Below are 17,350 nucleotides of genomic sequence, written 5' to 3'. Positions count from 1 at the left end.
TTAAGTTGCATTTTTATGTTATCATATTACATTTGACTATATATTTTTTTAATTGGGGGGGTTAGCTTTCATAAGAAATACATCAATCAATACATGAATGTAGCAATACATTAACATTATACTTCAAGTGCATTGAATAATTTGACTATATCAAGAGTAATTTCAAACAAGCCCTTTAAGCAGAGGTGGATGGTTGCCTATCGAAAAACCTTTTTGTCTTTATCCTTGCTCACAGAAATATGATTTTGTTTGATATTTACCACCCCCTTCAATTTTGAGGAGCGATTACTTCCAAATGTAAGTAAAATGAATTTTGCTAATCTAAATATTCTTGTCTTTCAAGAAAAAATATTTTAAAGAAACTATACGATAATGTGAAGGAGAAACCTCTCAAGTAATCTTTTAAAGTAAAACTTAAAATTCATTGTATAGATACAATGTATATCCTATAAATATTTGCCTTCTAACCTCAATAATTATTACAAAAAAGTCTTTAATCTTATGTATTTCTAAGCTTAAGACCTGATATCATTTTCCCTGTATCTTAAAAGGAAGAGTTTATTTTAAAGGACACTTCCTTTTAAAAATGAAGTCACTGAAACACTAAGTAAACCCCAAAAGAGTACTTTGTTCTGATTATTTCTTTTAAATTTCCCCCATAATATGACTCCTGCATTTCCTCTCTGAACTTAGTCAATTTTTCAATTTTTTAAAAACTCTCTGTGGAAATAGGTCAATAATTTTGCTGTGAGGTTAAATGTTGACCTTCCTTTCTTTAAACATGAAGGAATATAAGTGCTGGTCAATAGAGCTAAATCTTTTGCTGTGCCTTCTCAACAATAATACACAGAATTTCTTATAGGGGAATTTTCTCCTTAAATTAAGCAGTATAATTGGTGCAAAAGAAATATGAGACTACTTTTAAGATGTTCTGCCTTTTAGTAGTAACTTAATAAATTCAAAAATGCCAGCTTACTTCCTGAGAAATTTTTGTCACTGGTAGAATCTGGTTCACAATGAATGAAATGGCAGGCATTTTTTAAACCAGACATATGTTTCTAATAACACTCTTGTATATGCAGTGCAGTGTTTTAAATGTAGATTAGGTACCCTGGTGACATCATCTTTTAAACTCTCTTTAGGTAAACCAGATGGCTGGCTTGTATGCAGTAAGAATGCCATTAAACTGTCCAGAGAGAATAGTTTAATCATCTTTAATAATGTCACTAATACCCAACATGTGTATTTTTAAATGGGTAATTGTATTGAAAAAGCTGATGTCACAAAATCTGTTTCAGACACTTTTCATTTAAAGTAAGTGATAAAAGTTGCAAGGTTTTTAAAAAACACACAAACAATAGTCTTGAAAACAACAATTAATATGTAAGATTTCTGTATACTAGCTAGTGATTTGTTACCACACTACAAAATCAATAGTATTAAAATTTGTGTCGTACTACAAATCGATAGTATTTTGTTACCTACTATTGATCAATAGCTATAATTTAGTTCTTATGTTGAAAAATAAAAAGAAAATAAGCTTCTAAAGAAGCTTGGAGATTAAAAAGAAAACAAATATAAAGGTAGAACATAGAAGGATAAACAGGCAAGGAGAAGCAGAATTCAAATTTCTTTATCCACTCATTAAATTTTAGAGCCTAGAACTTTGACAAATAAATCTTGTCTCCCTGGCTTTCTTACGCATTCCACACACAGGGTTTCATGGGAAGAGATTAGCTTCTTATGATGATGTAATGAGTCTAATTGAGGTTGGAGCTGGAGGAATCCAAGTAAATTGAGTTGATCCGATGATAAAGAAAAGTAAAAACATATTCTAAATTTGATACTTGAGATTTCTATCTATGTAATTGCATTATAATTAATGCTTTGCCCTGAGACTTAACCAATGAGCTTCCTTCAGTCCCTGAAGTTAAAATATTAGGGAAAAAGTTGAGCAGAAGAAAACACACAAACTTAGAAGAGGTTTGGTAAAGAAGGTATATCCTTTAATTCACAATGTTAAAAAGGAATTTAACAGCATTTAAAATATACATTCAATGTTACATTTTAATTCATATTTCCAAAGAATAGGCTAGACTTTATTTTTCTGATTGTTGTAAATCCCAACTTATTCTTATATAAAATATAAAATACTATTTAAAACACTTCAGTTGAATAATCTCTCCTTAGATTCTAATAACTATTCAGAATGTTAAAATGCTATTATTTACCAGTTCTTAGAATGCCTTCAGCTCCATTGTATAATTAAAGTTGCATGGCATCTTGCTGAATTATCTTGAGGAAAAAAATAGGGAGAAGCTCAAATTACTTTGATGGTAGGAAGAGAAATTATCCTGATGATGGTGTTGGAAGAAAGAAGCATGTATGATTCTTGGCAACTGCTGTCCTATTTTTTCTGCAGGAGGCATGTATGCTGAGTTGTTCTTTGACTCATCTATAAAGGTATTGCAAAAAGGCCTCATATGTCCGCTCTATAATTGTACAGTTCTCCCGCTAATGGCATGAGTTAGTCTAATACAGAAATGGATTATTAACAGAACAACCTAGCCTTACATTTAAATTTACCTTTGACAATTAATCATAATTGGAAATAAACATGATATTTTGCTCTTTGACCCCTAAATCTATCTTTCAGTTCATTTCAAACTTGAGAAAATAAGAATAGCATTATTTATAGTCTGCTATAACTCCAAAATAAAGAATTCAATGTGTTTTTATGTGAAATATATTCTACCTAAATTTTTCATCTTAGAAAGTATATGAGATGAGACATAAGAAATGAAATATTGAATCAGAATAATATTCCACCTAACCCCATGTGTTACAGAGATATTAAAGGCTATTTGCAAAGTTTTTTTTTTAATCAGTTTTAATGAGATCAAAAATTATCTTTGTGATTATAACGAGGCATAAATTTACCACATAACTTTCTAACCTAGAGTTTTGGACCTAAAATGTTGCATAGGATATCTGTGGCAAATCTAATATTGAATTAGAAAGTTAGAGTTCTATTTATGGAAAGAAATTTGGCAAAAATATATGTAAACATCACCAAACAATGTCTTCCATGTTGACTTTTCTCTCTGCTTACCTGTTTCTGACATTGCATGTATACCACGGTGTAAGATTACATGAAGTCAACCTAAACAAAGAATTAAGTGAAAAACGCCAAATGGCTTTTATAGTCAAATTCAGGTAACACATGCTGTTTTCAAGTTCCTATTTAAAAAACAGATCTAATGACATTTACTATCTAACCCAAAACAACCACACTTGGCTCAGTAAGAAACAGGCTGATTTTAAGAAGAAAGCTCCTTTTCCAAGTAATCAGATAGAGTAAAACTATTTCTAAAAACAACACGAAGAAACTTACTGTCATAAACCAAATGAAATTAAAAATGAGCATATAATAAAGTACATAATTATAACAAAAACTAATTTTTATTGATGTTTCCCCTATGCTAGAATATATACATGTTTCTCTTTTAATCCTCATAACTCTATATAGAAAGTATAATTATTATTTTCACTTTATAGACAGGGAACTGAGGCTTAAGAAGTTGATATGCCTAACGTGAGCTTATGCAGCAAGAGGTTGAACCACAATTCAAATCCATGTCTGTTCAACTTCATATGCCAAGCTTTAGAGTCAAGTTGTATACTACAGTAATAAAAACAAAAAAGAAAACCTCGCTAAAAACAACCATATTTGTAAAAATTGAGTTATATCACAATCTAAACAGAAACAAACATAAATCAAAAAAACTGCGTAAATTATTTGGAAATGTTTCTGGCATGTAATAAGCATTAATAACACCTAGCTAATAATGTTTTACTCCACAACATCCACCTATGTGAAAATTAAAGGTATATAATACCTAAGAGCTAAAGACTTCCATTATTTTAAACATTTTTACCTAGGTTACTTGGATTACTTGTTTCCATCTGAGTTGCCAAATTAGCTATTTCTTTGGTAATTAATGTAAATATATCATACTAGTAAAATCTAAAAATATTAGAAATATGTTGTCAGTGGATATATTGTGCTATCTTTTATATATAAAACTGAAACTATTGACCCACATTATTAAGACCTGTACCTTAAATTGTTTGATTTTCCGCTAGGGGAAATGAATTTGAAGTAATATACACAGTCACTCTAAAGATTCCCTTTATATTATAATTTTTAAAATATATTTATAAAACGGTTGATAGGGATTCTTCTAGGATGCAAAGGTTTAACTCAGAAAGCTAAATGTTAAGTCTGGTTAGGAATAAAATGTACGTTGAAATAAAACCAATTTTTCACACACCTGGATACTGACTTTTTAACAGACCAGAACCATGTTTTTAATTTTTAATGTGATACAAATCACTTGAGAATCTTGATAAATGCAAATCCTAATTCATAAGGGGTAGGGTAGGTTTGAGAGACTAAATGTCTAACAGGCTTCCTGGTAATATTGGTGGTATGGAAATAAGCCACACATGCAGCCTCTGGCTATACGCAGACAATTACTAAATTTTTTTCCAGCATCTATATTCTGGAAACATTCCTTTCTCCTTTCATCAACACTGGTAATGTAGCAGCCACCACATTCACACTTGCTCATCACTTATACCACAGGGATGAGCCCTTAACTCAACCAATCTATCCTCTTTTCAAATATTGGGAACCGAGATCCAGACAAAGTCAATTCAGTATTTCTCAATTACTTCATGACTTTACATAAATTCCATAGCACGTGTTGGTAGTTTTCTACTGAACAAGAAAAAACTATTCTGTGACCAAGGAGAAAAATAAAGCATGACATACAGAGAAGTAGACGTGATAGGCACCAGGAGAGAAATTTAATGGATTCTTCAGTGTGTTGCCATTCTAATTCTGTTCCTGAGGCCCAGGTATATTGCTGTCCTAATAAACTACCTTTTTACTCAAGCTAAGTGGGTTTCTATTTCATACAACCTGAGGAGTACTAACTTTATGCTCTAAAGTGTAATGTATTTTATCTCTGTACAACTAAAAGCACATAAGATTGGGATCCATAATCACAGCCTCATTTATGTGAAGTGCTAAGAATCTGTGCTAAGAGGGAAAACATATGTATGTCATAATATATATTACACACATGCAAATTTTTGTAAAGAATTTTTGCATCAAATTTATTTCAGCACATCTGTTACTTTAGAATTTGGTGCTAAATAAATAAAGACAACGACCATTGAACTTACAGATGTGCAATGATAGAAAAATCTATTAAGTGCCACTTTAGAGTGAATATTATATTTCCTTAAGCTAAACAGACTTTTTAAAAATGTATGCATTTTTTTTTCTCTAAGAAGCTCAGTAGTTAATTAGAAGGATGAAAAACCTTACATTAAATATATTTGTGGATTGCTAAGGAAGGCACCAGAATGGTATTCTCCTTTAAATAAAGGTATTTAAAACTACTCTGGTGCTTAAATTGTTATTCACAGTATCTATTCATTTTTTTACTGCTTAAAAGTTTAGGCTGATTAAGCAAAATGTTTACAAATAAGCAATACCATAAAAGCATCTCCAGTTTTTGGGCTCTAGCCAAATCAACTTCTTGTAAAAATCCAGTGATGAATTTTATAACTAAATAACTAATAAAACCATCTAACCTTAAATCCTAAAATGAATTCATACATTTGTAGCAATCAGATCATTTCAGTTACACAGGTGTTATAAAGCTATCACAGAAACTAGGATCTAAAGAAAATAGCAGATCTCATATTCCTCAAGTACTTAGACTAGTTGCAATGCAAGCTCAAAGTTGGTTTGTTAATCTTAAACACAACCAATTACATTATTTGAATAAATCACCAACATTAAATTCCAAAAGCAAGTGTATATTATAAAATTGGCTTTGCAAAGTAGTAACCACAGGCTGGTCCTCAGGTGAATTTGCAATCAAAAATTCATATTGTACGGGTAACCCATAAAAATGAGTCATAAATTTACAGTAAAGTTGTTGGAGATCGGTAGTACTTTCAAAAATCTTAAAAAGGCAAACAAAAATCTCCAGAGTAGCACATCTTCATCTTAGAACTCAAAGAATTCTCGTCAATATTTTCTCCTCAAACCATGAGCAATTCTAAGAAAGAAAAAGATTTAAAAATACTCAAGGAGATAATACACTATGTGTAAGAATCAGTCCACCCCCCACCCTTAAAAAAATCAAAAATCAAACAACAGAAACAGACCATAAATTCATCATATAATCACATTATTAGAATAAAAAGTAATTATGCTGGCTAGAATTTGAAAAACAAAACACAAGGTGAACTCTATCTCCAGGGATCTGGAAGCTATAAGGAAAAGTAAAGGAGCTTTGAAAATAGAGAACTCACAGAAACTAAAAATATAAAAATTGAATGAGAAACTCAATGAATGGCTATATCATTATGTTGAAAACAACAGAGAGAGTTAGCAAGATGGAGGACAGGTGAGAAGAAATCAAACAGAGTATAGAACATAGAGAAAAAACGTGGAAACGATGAAAAATAGGTAGAAAATGGTAAAATTAACTAAGAAAGTCTAATATACTGCTAATTAGTGAACCAGATAGAGAGAAAAGAATGAATTAGCAAAACGGAATGGCTGAGAATATTCCCTAACTAATAAAAGATATCAAACCAAAAATTCAAGAAGTCCAATATATTATTTGTAGAACAAGTCAAAAGAAATCCACATCCAGAAATGTCTGCAGAACATCAAATAAAAAGATATGTTTAAAAATGTGAGGAAAAAGAGGCAGATTATGTTCAAAGTATTGAAAGATGAACAGCTAATCTTTTAGCAATAGAAATGCAAGACAATTTCAAATAACAGATCAGGCCAAATCTTACAGACAGTAAAAAAGAGGAAATCTTTCAAACTAATTCTACTACTTCTGGAAACAACTGATATTAAAATAAAAAATATATATATATATCATAATAAAGGCAAATAATGGACACATTTTACTCATAAATGTAGATGCAATATCCTAAACAAAATATTATAATAGCAAATTGAATCCTAATGTATTTTTCAAAAAATATACCTTGGCCAACATTATATTCTGCTTATATGAAAACAGATCAATATTTTCAATTTCATACATTCAATTTGACAAATTAACATATTAAAAGAGAGGAAAGGTGATCATTTACTTAGGTTGAAGGGAAATATTTAACAAAATTTAATATACATATTATTAGGAAATAAGAAATAGGAAAGAATATCTTTAACCTTATAAAAATGATGTACATAGGGTAAATATTTTCCTGAAAGGGGAAAGATTTAAAGAGTTCCCTTTATAAGCAGGACTAAGACAATGATGCACAATATCAGTACTCTTATGCAACATTGTATTACAAGTCTTAGCAAGTACAATAAGACAAGAAAAAAAATGGAGACATAAAGATACAAATTAGGAAAGGTAATCATTTACATAAAAAATGAAGAGTCTTTAAATTACTACAAATAATTTAGTAAATTGGTTGTATATAAAATTAACATTTAATTAAATATTAATACAACATTTGTCAGTTGCATTTCTAATTACCAGTAACAAACATCCTAATACTACAATTAAAGAGAGAAGATAATTTACAATATTATCACAGAATATCAAGTATCTTTTCAAATATTCAAAACTACTAAAGGGAAATTGCTTCAATAAAGGATATCAAAGACCACTTCAATATATGAGATGATGTATCATGTTCATGCCTACAAGGATGTAGTATTTGAAAATAGTATATCTTTTGCTAATAATCATATCCAATACATTTCTAATGCATAACAAGGTTATTCATGATCTGATGATAAGATGATTTTAAATTTTATAGAGAAGAGTAAAGGGCCAATAATAACCAGAAAGAACAGAGAGAAAGAATTGCTCAACTAGCTAATGGGAATTATTATAAAGCTATAATAAATATGATACTGTAGAACTATAATAAATGAGAATAGTGTGGAGATAAACAGTGTGACACCCAAAATAGAACACAGAACTCAGAAACGTATGCACACATGTTGATTTTTGACAGAAGTGACATTTTAGATCAGTAGGGAAAGGGATGATTGGAGAATAAGTGACTATCCATATGGAAAGAAGAAAAAATTGAAGCCACTTCACACTATATAAACACAAACTGCAGAAAATGAAAGATAAATGTCAAAAGTGAAATGTTTAAATACCTACTTGAAATAACTCATTTGGAACGTCTTTAGGTTTAGTGGGATGAAAAAGTTTATTTAAAATATTTTTTTAAGGCTGTTCTGCCTATGGAATAGCCATTCTTTTATTCCTTTGCCTTCTTAATAAAACTGCTTTCACTGTACTCTATGGAAAAAAACAAAAAGTACAATAAAATAAAATACATTTTTTTAAAAAAAGAGTTGACCATATAAGAAGACCTATAAATTTGACTGTATCAAAATTGAAAATTGTTATAAATCAAAAGATATATTAAAACAAGTGAAAATATTATAAACTGGGAGAAAATATTTGTGATACAGATAACCAACAAAATATTGAGATGTTATTTAAGAAAAAAAACTTTCCACAACTCAGTATGAAAACCTTTTAAAAGATAGAAAACATGTTGAAAGGCATAGAGACTTTCCACAGAAGAGAAAATGTATATGACCCATAAGAATATTAGTAGTGATTCCAGAAATACAAAACACGAACACAGTAAAGTACCAGTTTACATGCACTTAATAACAAAAATTAAAATGAATGACCACTTCGAGGGGAGGATATATGTCAATCTAGGTTTTATGTGAAGCCAGAGGTTTATTTAATTTGGTAGTTCATTCTCTAAGAAAAATAAATTTTAAAAAAAGCTAACAACAAATTATTTGCACTTTATAATATTTATTTGGAATGAAAAAAAGAAATCAAACCAAATTACAGTTTTTAAAAAACTGACAATACCACAAAAGACATAGGCCAAAATAAAAACCTTAAAAAATTTTCCTTTTGAACACATATATATAATACTATTTTCTTATATACTTTGGCTGCATACTTTTTAATTTTATAACAACAACTTTGAAGATTTTTGGCAAACAGATTAGAAAGATAATTCCAATTATTTAAGGATCATTATAACTTGGTTTTAATATTGATAGTATAGAAAAGTTTCAGCTTTATGACTAGTTACTAGTAATACCACATTGATTTTTTAAAGATTTTTGTCAAATTTGGGAAAACCTCTCTATGTTTATTTTCTATGTAAGTTGTGAGATTTTAGAGCATTTAAAGTTTTCTTGTGCAGGGAACTATATTAAAGAATTATGAACTCATTAACTAGATTATTGTTGTTAGCCTCCTCATGCGGTGTATTTTATGTTATAGTCAACAAAGTTAGTATTTGGGGCCACATTATCAGGAAATATACATCATTTTTATATGAGCAATGGCACCTGGGACTTATAGAACACGACACATCAGATATAACAAGATATATTCCCATATGTTGAGGCGCATAAGACATGAGACTTGAAGACACTGATATATTTATTTGTAGAATGCCTAAAGATTTATGCCGTACAGTGCATAGACCATCTAAAAGATTCTATTGTGTAAAATACTTTTAACAATTGCATATTTATAATTGTATATGTGAATCACTGAGTGTATGCCTGATGACAGGAAACTTCTGTTTTGACTAAGCATCAAAAAGAAACAAATCCAGCTGGGCACGGTGGCTCACGCCTGTAATCCCAGCACTTTGGGAGACCGAGGCAGGTGGATGACAAGGTCAGGAGTTTGAGACCAGCCTGGCCAATATGGTGAAACCCCATCGCTACTAAAATACAAAAAAAAAAAAAAAAAAAAAAATTAGCTGGGCATGGCGACGTGTGCCTGTAGCCCCAGCTACTCAGGAGGCTGAGGCAGAAGAATCGCTTGAACCCAGGAGGAGGAGGTTGCAGCGACAGAGCGAGACTACATCTCAAAAAAAAAAAAAAAAAAGAACCAAATCCTTTCCTTGCAATTTTAAACATCTTTGATTGGAAGAATTTTACATTCATATAATTCAAATTTTATTTCTGCATTCATACATTTCCAAACTTATTTCTTCTCCACTCACACATGGTTTTGGTGCCAGGTACTGTAGAACAAGTTCTTATAGCAGGGCAACCTCAGGTCATAAGTCTTGTGAGATGATGCCAGCCGAGTCAGCACAATGCATAGCAGGAGGATTCCTGGAAGGCTTTCCTACACCAATATGGCACACAATAACTAAGTATCCAGGAAAGTGACTCTAGAAGCCACACAAACATATTCCTCTACACCTACTTATCACTTTAGCTTAACCGCCAAAATTCCATTGGCCATTTCATTGCATTTATCAGGTAGGGAAGTATGACCAAGAAAAAACTGAATGGGAAAAAGCAGCAAACTTAATCAATTGCAGTCAAGATGCCTTATATTGCATAGTTAACCAAAACATATGGCTAGTGAATACATTGCTAAGGCCCTTCCAAGGGCCTTGCTACATGTAAGAGAAACATCTAAAATTGGAAAATAAGAAAGTTGAAAGTAACAAATTTTTAAAAAGTTATAACCAAATTCTTATCGAAGCAAGCTGGTATAACTGTATAAATATTAGACAAAGTAGACTTTAAGTCAACAAGTACAGATAAAGATAGTGATTTCATAAAGATAAAACATAATCATTTTAATTTTTAAAAGGTATTCAGATAATAACAAAGCAAGAAAAAAATACACAAATCCACAATGAAGCAAGTAAAATTTCCTTACAACATCTCTATTGAGACACAATTCACATAAAATAAAATTCACCTGTCTAAGATGTACAGTCCAGAGGTTTTTAATGTTCATAGAATTATGCAAACATAACCACTATCTAATTTCAAAAACATTTTTATCACTCCCCAAAGAAACTCCATACACATTAGCAGTTACTCTCAATTGAACTCCTTCCCCAGCCTTTGGCAACCACTAATTGAGTTTCTCTTTCCACGGATTTACGTACTCTGGACATTTTATATATATATGGGATTATATAATATGCAGTCTTTTGTGACTGGTTTCCTTCACATAGCACAGTATCTTTGAGGTTCATCCATGTTGTAACTTGTATCATCACTTCATTCTTTTTCATGGCTGAATAAAGAATACACCACATTTTGTTAGTCCATTTATCAGTTAATAGACCCTTGGGTTTTTTTTTTTTAATTTTGACTATTATGAATAAGGCATCTGTGAACGTTTTGGTGCAAGTTTTTGTGTGGATATGTTTTCAGTCATCTGGGACATGCTTAGGAAAAGAATTCTCCCATCATATATTAGCTTTATGTTTAACCTTTTGAGTAATTGTCAAACTGTCTTCTCTAGTGCCTGTACATTTTACAATCCCACAGGCAAGATTGGATAGTTCCAATTTCTCCACATCCTTGACAGAACTTATTATTGCCTGTCTTTTTTGTTTTAGTGATTCTAGTGAGTGTGAAGTGGTATCACACGGTGGTTTTAATTTGCATTTCCCTAATTGGTAGTGAGATTAATAATCTTTTCATAAGCTGATTTGCCACTTGTATACCATATTTGGAGAAATATCTATTCAGTTTTTTAATCCATTATTCTATCAGGTTGTTCGATGTTTTCTAGCTCAGTTGTAAGAATTTTTTATATATATTCAAGATACAAATCCCTTGTAATTTGCAAGTATTTCCTCCATTTTGTGGTGGTCCTTCACCTCTTTAATTGTGTGCATTAAATCACAAACATTTTTATTTTTGTTGACTTTTATGTGTTTTGTTCTTTTGTTGTTTATACTTAGGGCATCATAACTGAGAAACTGTTGACTAATCCAAAGTCATGAAAATTTACTCGTGTTTTCTCCTAAGAGTTTTATGTATTTGTCTCTTAAGTTTAGATCTGTGGGCCCTTTTTAGTTAGTTTTTATACATGATGCGAGATAGAGAAATAAATTTCTTTTCCATGTGGATATCCCATCCACTTGTACTAGAACCATTCACAGAAACTCTTCTATCCTCGTTAAATTGGCTTGACAGCCTAGTCAAAACCAATTCATTGTAAATGCAAAAATTTATTCCTGGAATTTCAATTCTGTGTACTGATCTATATGTCAGTCCTTATGGTAGTATCACATTATATTGATAACTATCCTTGTAGAAAGTTTTAAAATTGGGAAGTCTGAGTTCTTCAATTTTGTTCTTTTTAAAATTTGTTTTGGTTGGAAAGCTAAACATTTCCATGTGAATATCAGAAACAGCTTGTTAAAATCTGTAAAACAAATCACTGGGATTTTGACAGAAATTTAATTGAATCTTTAGATCAGTTTGGAGAGTATTGTCATCTTAGCTATATGTGTATAATACATAAGCAAAGAAAACAGTGATGTGACTATTAAAATATAGAAGATCTGTTCAAGTCACTATAAACTAAATAAAAACACAGTTACAAAAATGACACAAGATATTTTCAACACATATATTTAAGAACTCAGATCCTGAATATATAAAGAATTCCTATAAATAAATTAGAAAAAGAAAGTGAACACAAATAAAATGGTCCCAAGACTAAAATAACTATTTGATGTAAATGAATATCCAAATGACCCAATAGCCATATGTAAATATACTCAACTTAATTACAAATAAAATAATACAAATTAAAAATAACATGAGAAAGCAGTACTTGGTTACCAAGCTAACTAAAATTGATAAGAATAAGAATAAGAAAATATTAGTGTTGGTGAGGATATGGGACAGCAGAAACTCATACACTGCAGGTACATTCACTTTTGAAAATAGTTTAAAATTATTCAGTAATATTGAAAATAATTTGACATTATCTAATTAAAATAAATAAAGCCTAGATATTTTTGTAAATGTACATAAAAAAATGTACTATAATGTTCACAGCATCGTTGATGTTATAGCCCCAAACTGAAATAATCCAAATATCCATTAACAGTAGAGTGAATAAGTAAATGGTAGTATGTTGACAAACTAGAATGCTCTCCAACAATAAAAAATAGCTACAGATAGTCCCATCAATAAAATGGCTTTCATAAACATGAAATTTAGCAAAAAATAAAGTCAACAAAGGATTCAACATAATTTCAATGTAATGCCACTCAAAAAAAAGAAAAAACAATATTATAATTTTAAATATTTGCAAACAGATAATAATGCTGCAAAGAAAAAAATAAGAGTTGAAAGGAAAGGGTAAAAGCAAGAAGAAACATACAATAGGTCTACGAGTTAACTGGTGAGTTTCTAATTCCTAACTTGGGTATTGTTTAAATGTGTGTTTGCCCGAATCCAGCAGCACATCAAAAAGCTTGCCCACCACCATCAAGTAGGCTTTATCCCTGGGACGCAAGGTTGGTACAACATATGCAAATTAATAAATCTGATTCATCACATAAGCAGAACTAAAGATAAAAATCACCTGATGATCTCAATAGATGCAGAAAAGGCTTTTGATAAAATTTGACATCCATTGTGAACTAAAAACTCTCAATAAACTAGGTATTGAAGAAACATACCTCAAAATAATAAGAGCCATATATGACAACCCCACAGCCAACATCATATTGAATGGACCAAAGCTGGAGGCATCCCCCTTGAAAACTGGCACAAGACAAAAATATCCTCCCTCACCACTCTGATTCAACATAGTATTAGAAGTTCTGGCTGGGGCAATCAGGCAAGAGAAAGAAATAATGGGCATCCAAATAGGAAGAGTGGGACTCAAAATATCCCTGTTTGCAGCTGACAAAGATGCCAAAAGCAGTTGCAACAAAAGCAAAAATTGACAAATGGGATCTAATTAAACTAAAGAGCTTCTGCACAGCAAAAAAAAAAAAAAAAAAAAAAAAAAAAAAAAAAAAAAAAAAAAGAGTATACAGACAACCTACGGAATGGGAGAAAATTTTTGCAAACTATGCATCTGGCAAAGATCTATGTCCAGCATCTATAAGTAACTTAAACAAATTTACAAGAAGCAAACAAACAAACAACACCATTAAAAAAGTGGACAAAGGACATGAATACACACTTTTCAAAATAAAACATATATGTGGCCAACAATCATATGAAAAAAAGCTGAACGTCACTGATCATTAGAGAAATGCCAATCAAAACCACAATAAGATACCATCTCACACGAGTCAGAATGGCAATTATTATAAAGTCAAAAAAGTAACAGATGCTGGCAAGGTTATGGAGAAAGGAATGCTTATACATTGTTTGTGGGAGTGTAAATTAGTTCAACCATCGTGGAAGACAATGTAGTGATTCCCCAAAGACCTAAAGACAGAAATACCATTTGACCCCGCAATCCCATTACAGGGCATATACCCAAAGAAATATAAATCATTCTACTATAAAGACACATGCTCGTGCTCTTTCCGCCATCTTTCTGCACTGCCGCAATGGTGCGCACGAATGTCCTGGCTGATGCTCTCAAAAGGATCAACAATGCAAAAAAGAGAGGCAAACGCCAGGTGCTTCTTAGGCCGTGCTCCGAAGTCATCATCCGGTTTCTCACTGTGATGAAGCATGGTTACATTGGCGAATTTGAAATCACTGATGATCACAGAGCTGGGAAAATGGTTGTGTACCTCACAGACAGGCTAAACAAGTGTGGAGTGATTAGCCCCAGATTTCATGTGCAACTCAAAGATCTAGAAAAATGGCAGAATAATCTGCTTCCATCCTACCAGTTTGGTTTCATTATACTGACAACCTCAGCTGGCATCACAGACCGTGAAGAAGCAAGACGAAAACACACAGGAGGGAAAATCCTGGGATTCTTTTTCTAGGGATGTAATACATATATTTACAAATAAAATGCCTCATGGAAAAAAAAAGACACATGCACTTGTATGTTCACTGCAACACTATTCACAATAGCAAAGACATGGAATCAACCTAAATGCCCATCAATAATAGAATAAAGAAAATGTGGAATAATAGGATGAAGAAAATGTGGAACCTATATACCATGGAATACTATGCAGCCATAAAAAAGAATAAGATCATGTCTTTGCAGGGACATGGATGGAGCTGGAGGCCTTATCCTTAGCAAACTAACACAGGAATAGAAAACCAAATACCACATGTTCTCATTTAGTGAGATCTAAATGATGAGAACACATGGATACATAGACGAGAACAACACACACTAGGGCCTGTAGCAGGGTGAAGGGTGGGAGGAGGGAGAAGATTTTTAAAAAAATAACTAATAGATACTAGACTTAATACCTGGGTGATGAAATAATCTGTACAACAAACCCCCATGAAACAAGTTTACCTAAGTAACAAACCTGCACATGTACCCCTGAACTTAAAAATAAATACATGAAATCAAATAAATGTGTGACTGCTTTACAATTATTCCTTAAACTATACATTTTGGGATTCTTATGCAAGTGTGTGATATATTTTATCTTTTGTTTTCTTTTTTTGAAATGGAATTTCGCTCTTGTTGTCCAGGCTGGAGTGCGGTGGCACGACCTCGGTTCACGGCAACCTCCGCCTTCCGGTTTCAAGTGATTCTCCTGCCTCAGCACCCTGAATAGATGATGGGATTACAGGCACCTGCCACCACGCCCAGCTAATTTTTATATTTTTAGTAGAGACGGGGTTTCACCATGTTGGCCAGGCTGGTCTCGAACTCCTGACCTCAGGTGATCCGCCCACCTCGGCCTCCCAAAGTGCTGGGATTACAGGCATGAGCCACTGCGCCCGGCCATATTTTATAATTTTTAAATGTGTAAAAATAATGTGTGGGGTAGCATTAGTCAGGAAAAGACTATAAGAAGGGGGAGTATAGGAAATCACTAGTTGAATGAGTGAGGAAATAGCCATCAAAACAACCTATTTTCTTTCAACAGATGTGCATTGAATGAACTGACTTGAACGACTGACTGCAGAGTCATGGTACAGAAAATGGGCTGGTTTCAGGGCCTGTAGAAACCAGTAGGTGCAGGAGCCTGAGTGTTATATTTAACTATTTAGTTTTATTAATTAAATGTTTCCTACTAAATGTTTTAACATTTTCTTAATCTCATTACTCATTGAATGCAAGAGTAATTCTTGACAACATATCTGTCTATCTATCTATCTATCTATCTATCTATCTATCTATCTATCTGTGTGTGTGTGTGTGTCCCATATTTTATTCCTCAATTTGGAAAAATAGCTTACCTAGTAGATGTTCGATATATAATACATGGAATTAATACCAAATTTGCACACAGTGCTCCATTATAAGATGACTTTCTATTATCTAATGATTTTTACCTATAGCTAGGCTAGATGGACAGAATCATCTAAAACCCTTTTAAAACTTCTTTTATTTTAATTAAAGCTGGTCTCTTAGTTAAGCAAATATGTCCTTCATGCCACAAAGTGACCTCTTGCCTAAAGCATTCTATTCAACTGAGAAAAGGACGTATGATATGTCTTTCTCCTGAAGGTAGTGCTCATGTACCCTGGCATGAACACTGCAAATTCAGTTCTATTAAAAGTAATGAAGTACGAATGTCAGTACAATTATCTGCAAACAGTTTGTGTCTGTTCAGGCTTTTTCACAGTTCAGGGTAATAACTGCTGTAGGCTTATAAAATTTATGTGCAGCATAGCCTAACTGCATGATGTTTATGTGGATGTTAACTCATAGTTGGCTTTTTTTTCTTCAGATACCCAAAAGGTCTACCTAGAAGATGATTTTGGTCTCAAAATCTGTTACTAGAAGTGAATTGGAGAGTATCCAGTTCACAATATTTAGACAAAGGCTCTGTGTGTGTATGTGTGTGTATACTGTTTTACACTGTTTATGAAAAGGTCTTTTAAATATATGTTTATGTATACCTGTATGTATATACCCTTTTTTTTCATGCTGTAGAGTTATCAGTCACAGAGTTGGAGATAGGCTGACTAGTTTTTGCTAATTGTATGATTTGGCACAATTACTTAGATTTTCTTTGCCTCAGCTTCCTCAAATGTAACAAGGGAAAATAGTATTACCTAACTCTTAGAATTATGCTAACAATCTTATATGAATACTAAATGAGATCAAACTTGCATGCCATTTATCCTAATATTGGGCATATAGTATCTAATAAATGTTAGTTATTATCAGTAATAGTAAAAATACTATCAGTAATAGTAAAAATAAAGAAAATACTGATATATGCATCCCATGCATACCTAGATTTACTTTTATTGATAATAATTGATAAATATGTTTCTTTTCTTTGACTACCCTTTATTTCATAGATAAACCAATGTTGCAGAATCAGT

General features: G+C 31.9%; 1 long non-coding RNA gene and 1 pseudogene across 1 annotated transcript in view; both read left to right on the top strand.

The window, feature by feature from the left end:
- Positions 1-17,350, top strand: part of ADGRL3-AS1 (ADGRL3 antisense RNA 1) — a 90,011-nt gene that overhangs the window by 41,241 nt on the left and 31,420 nt on the right. Inside the window, exons 5-6 of the long non-coding RNA NR_110595.1 lie at positions 236-297; positions 2,423-2,463. This is a non-coding gene — a long non-coding RNA (ADGRL3 antisense RNA 1). The remainder of the gene's footprint in view (positions 1-235; positions 298-2,422; positions 2,464-17,350) is intronic.
- On the top strand, positions 14,446-14,905 carry RPS15AP17 (ribosomal protein S15a pseudogene 17; annotated as a pseudogene).

The sequence above is a fragment of the Homo sapiens genome, chromosome 4 (genome assembly GCF_000001405.40).
Source record: "Homo sapiens chromosome 4, GRCh38.p14 Primary Assembly".
Classification (NCBI taxonomy): Eukaryota; Metazoa; Chordata; class Mammalia; order Primates; family Hominidae; genus Homo; species Homo sapiens.
The sequence above is the reverse complement of the archived record's forward strand: the minus strand, read 5'-3'. Positions and strand labels throughout refer to the sequence as shown.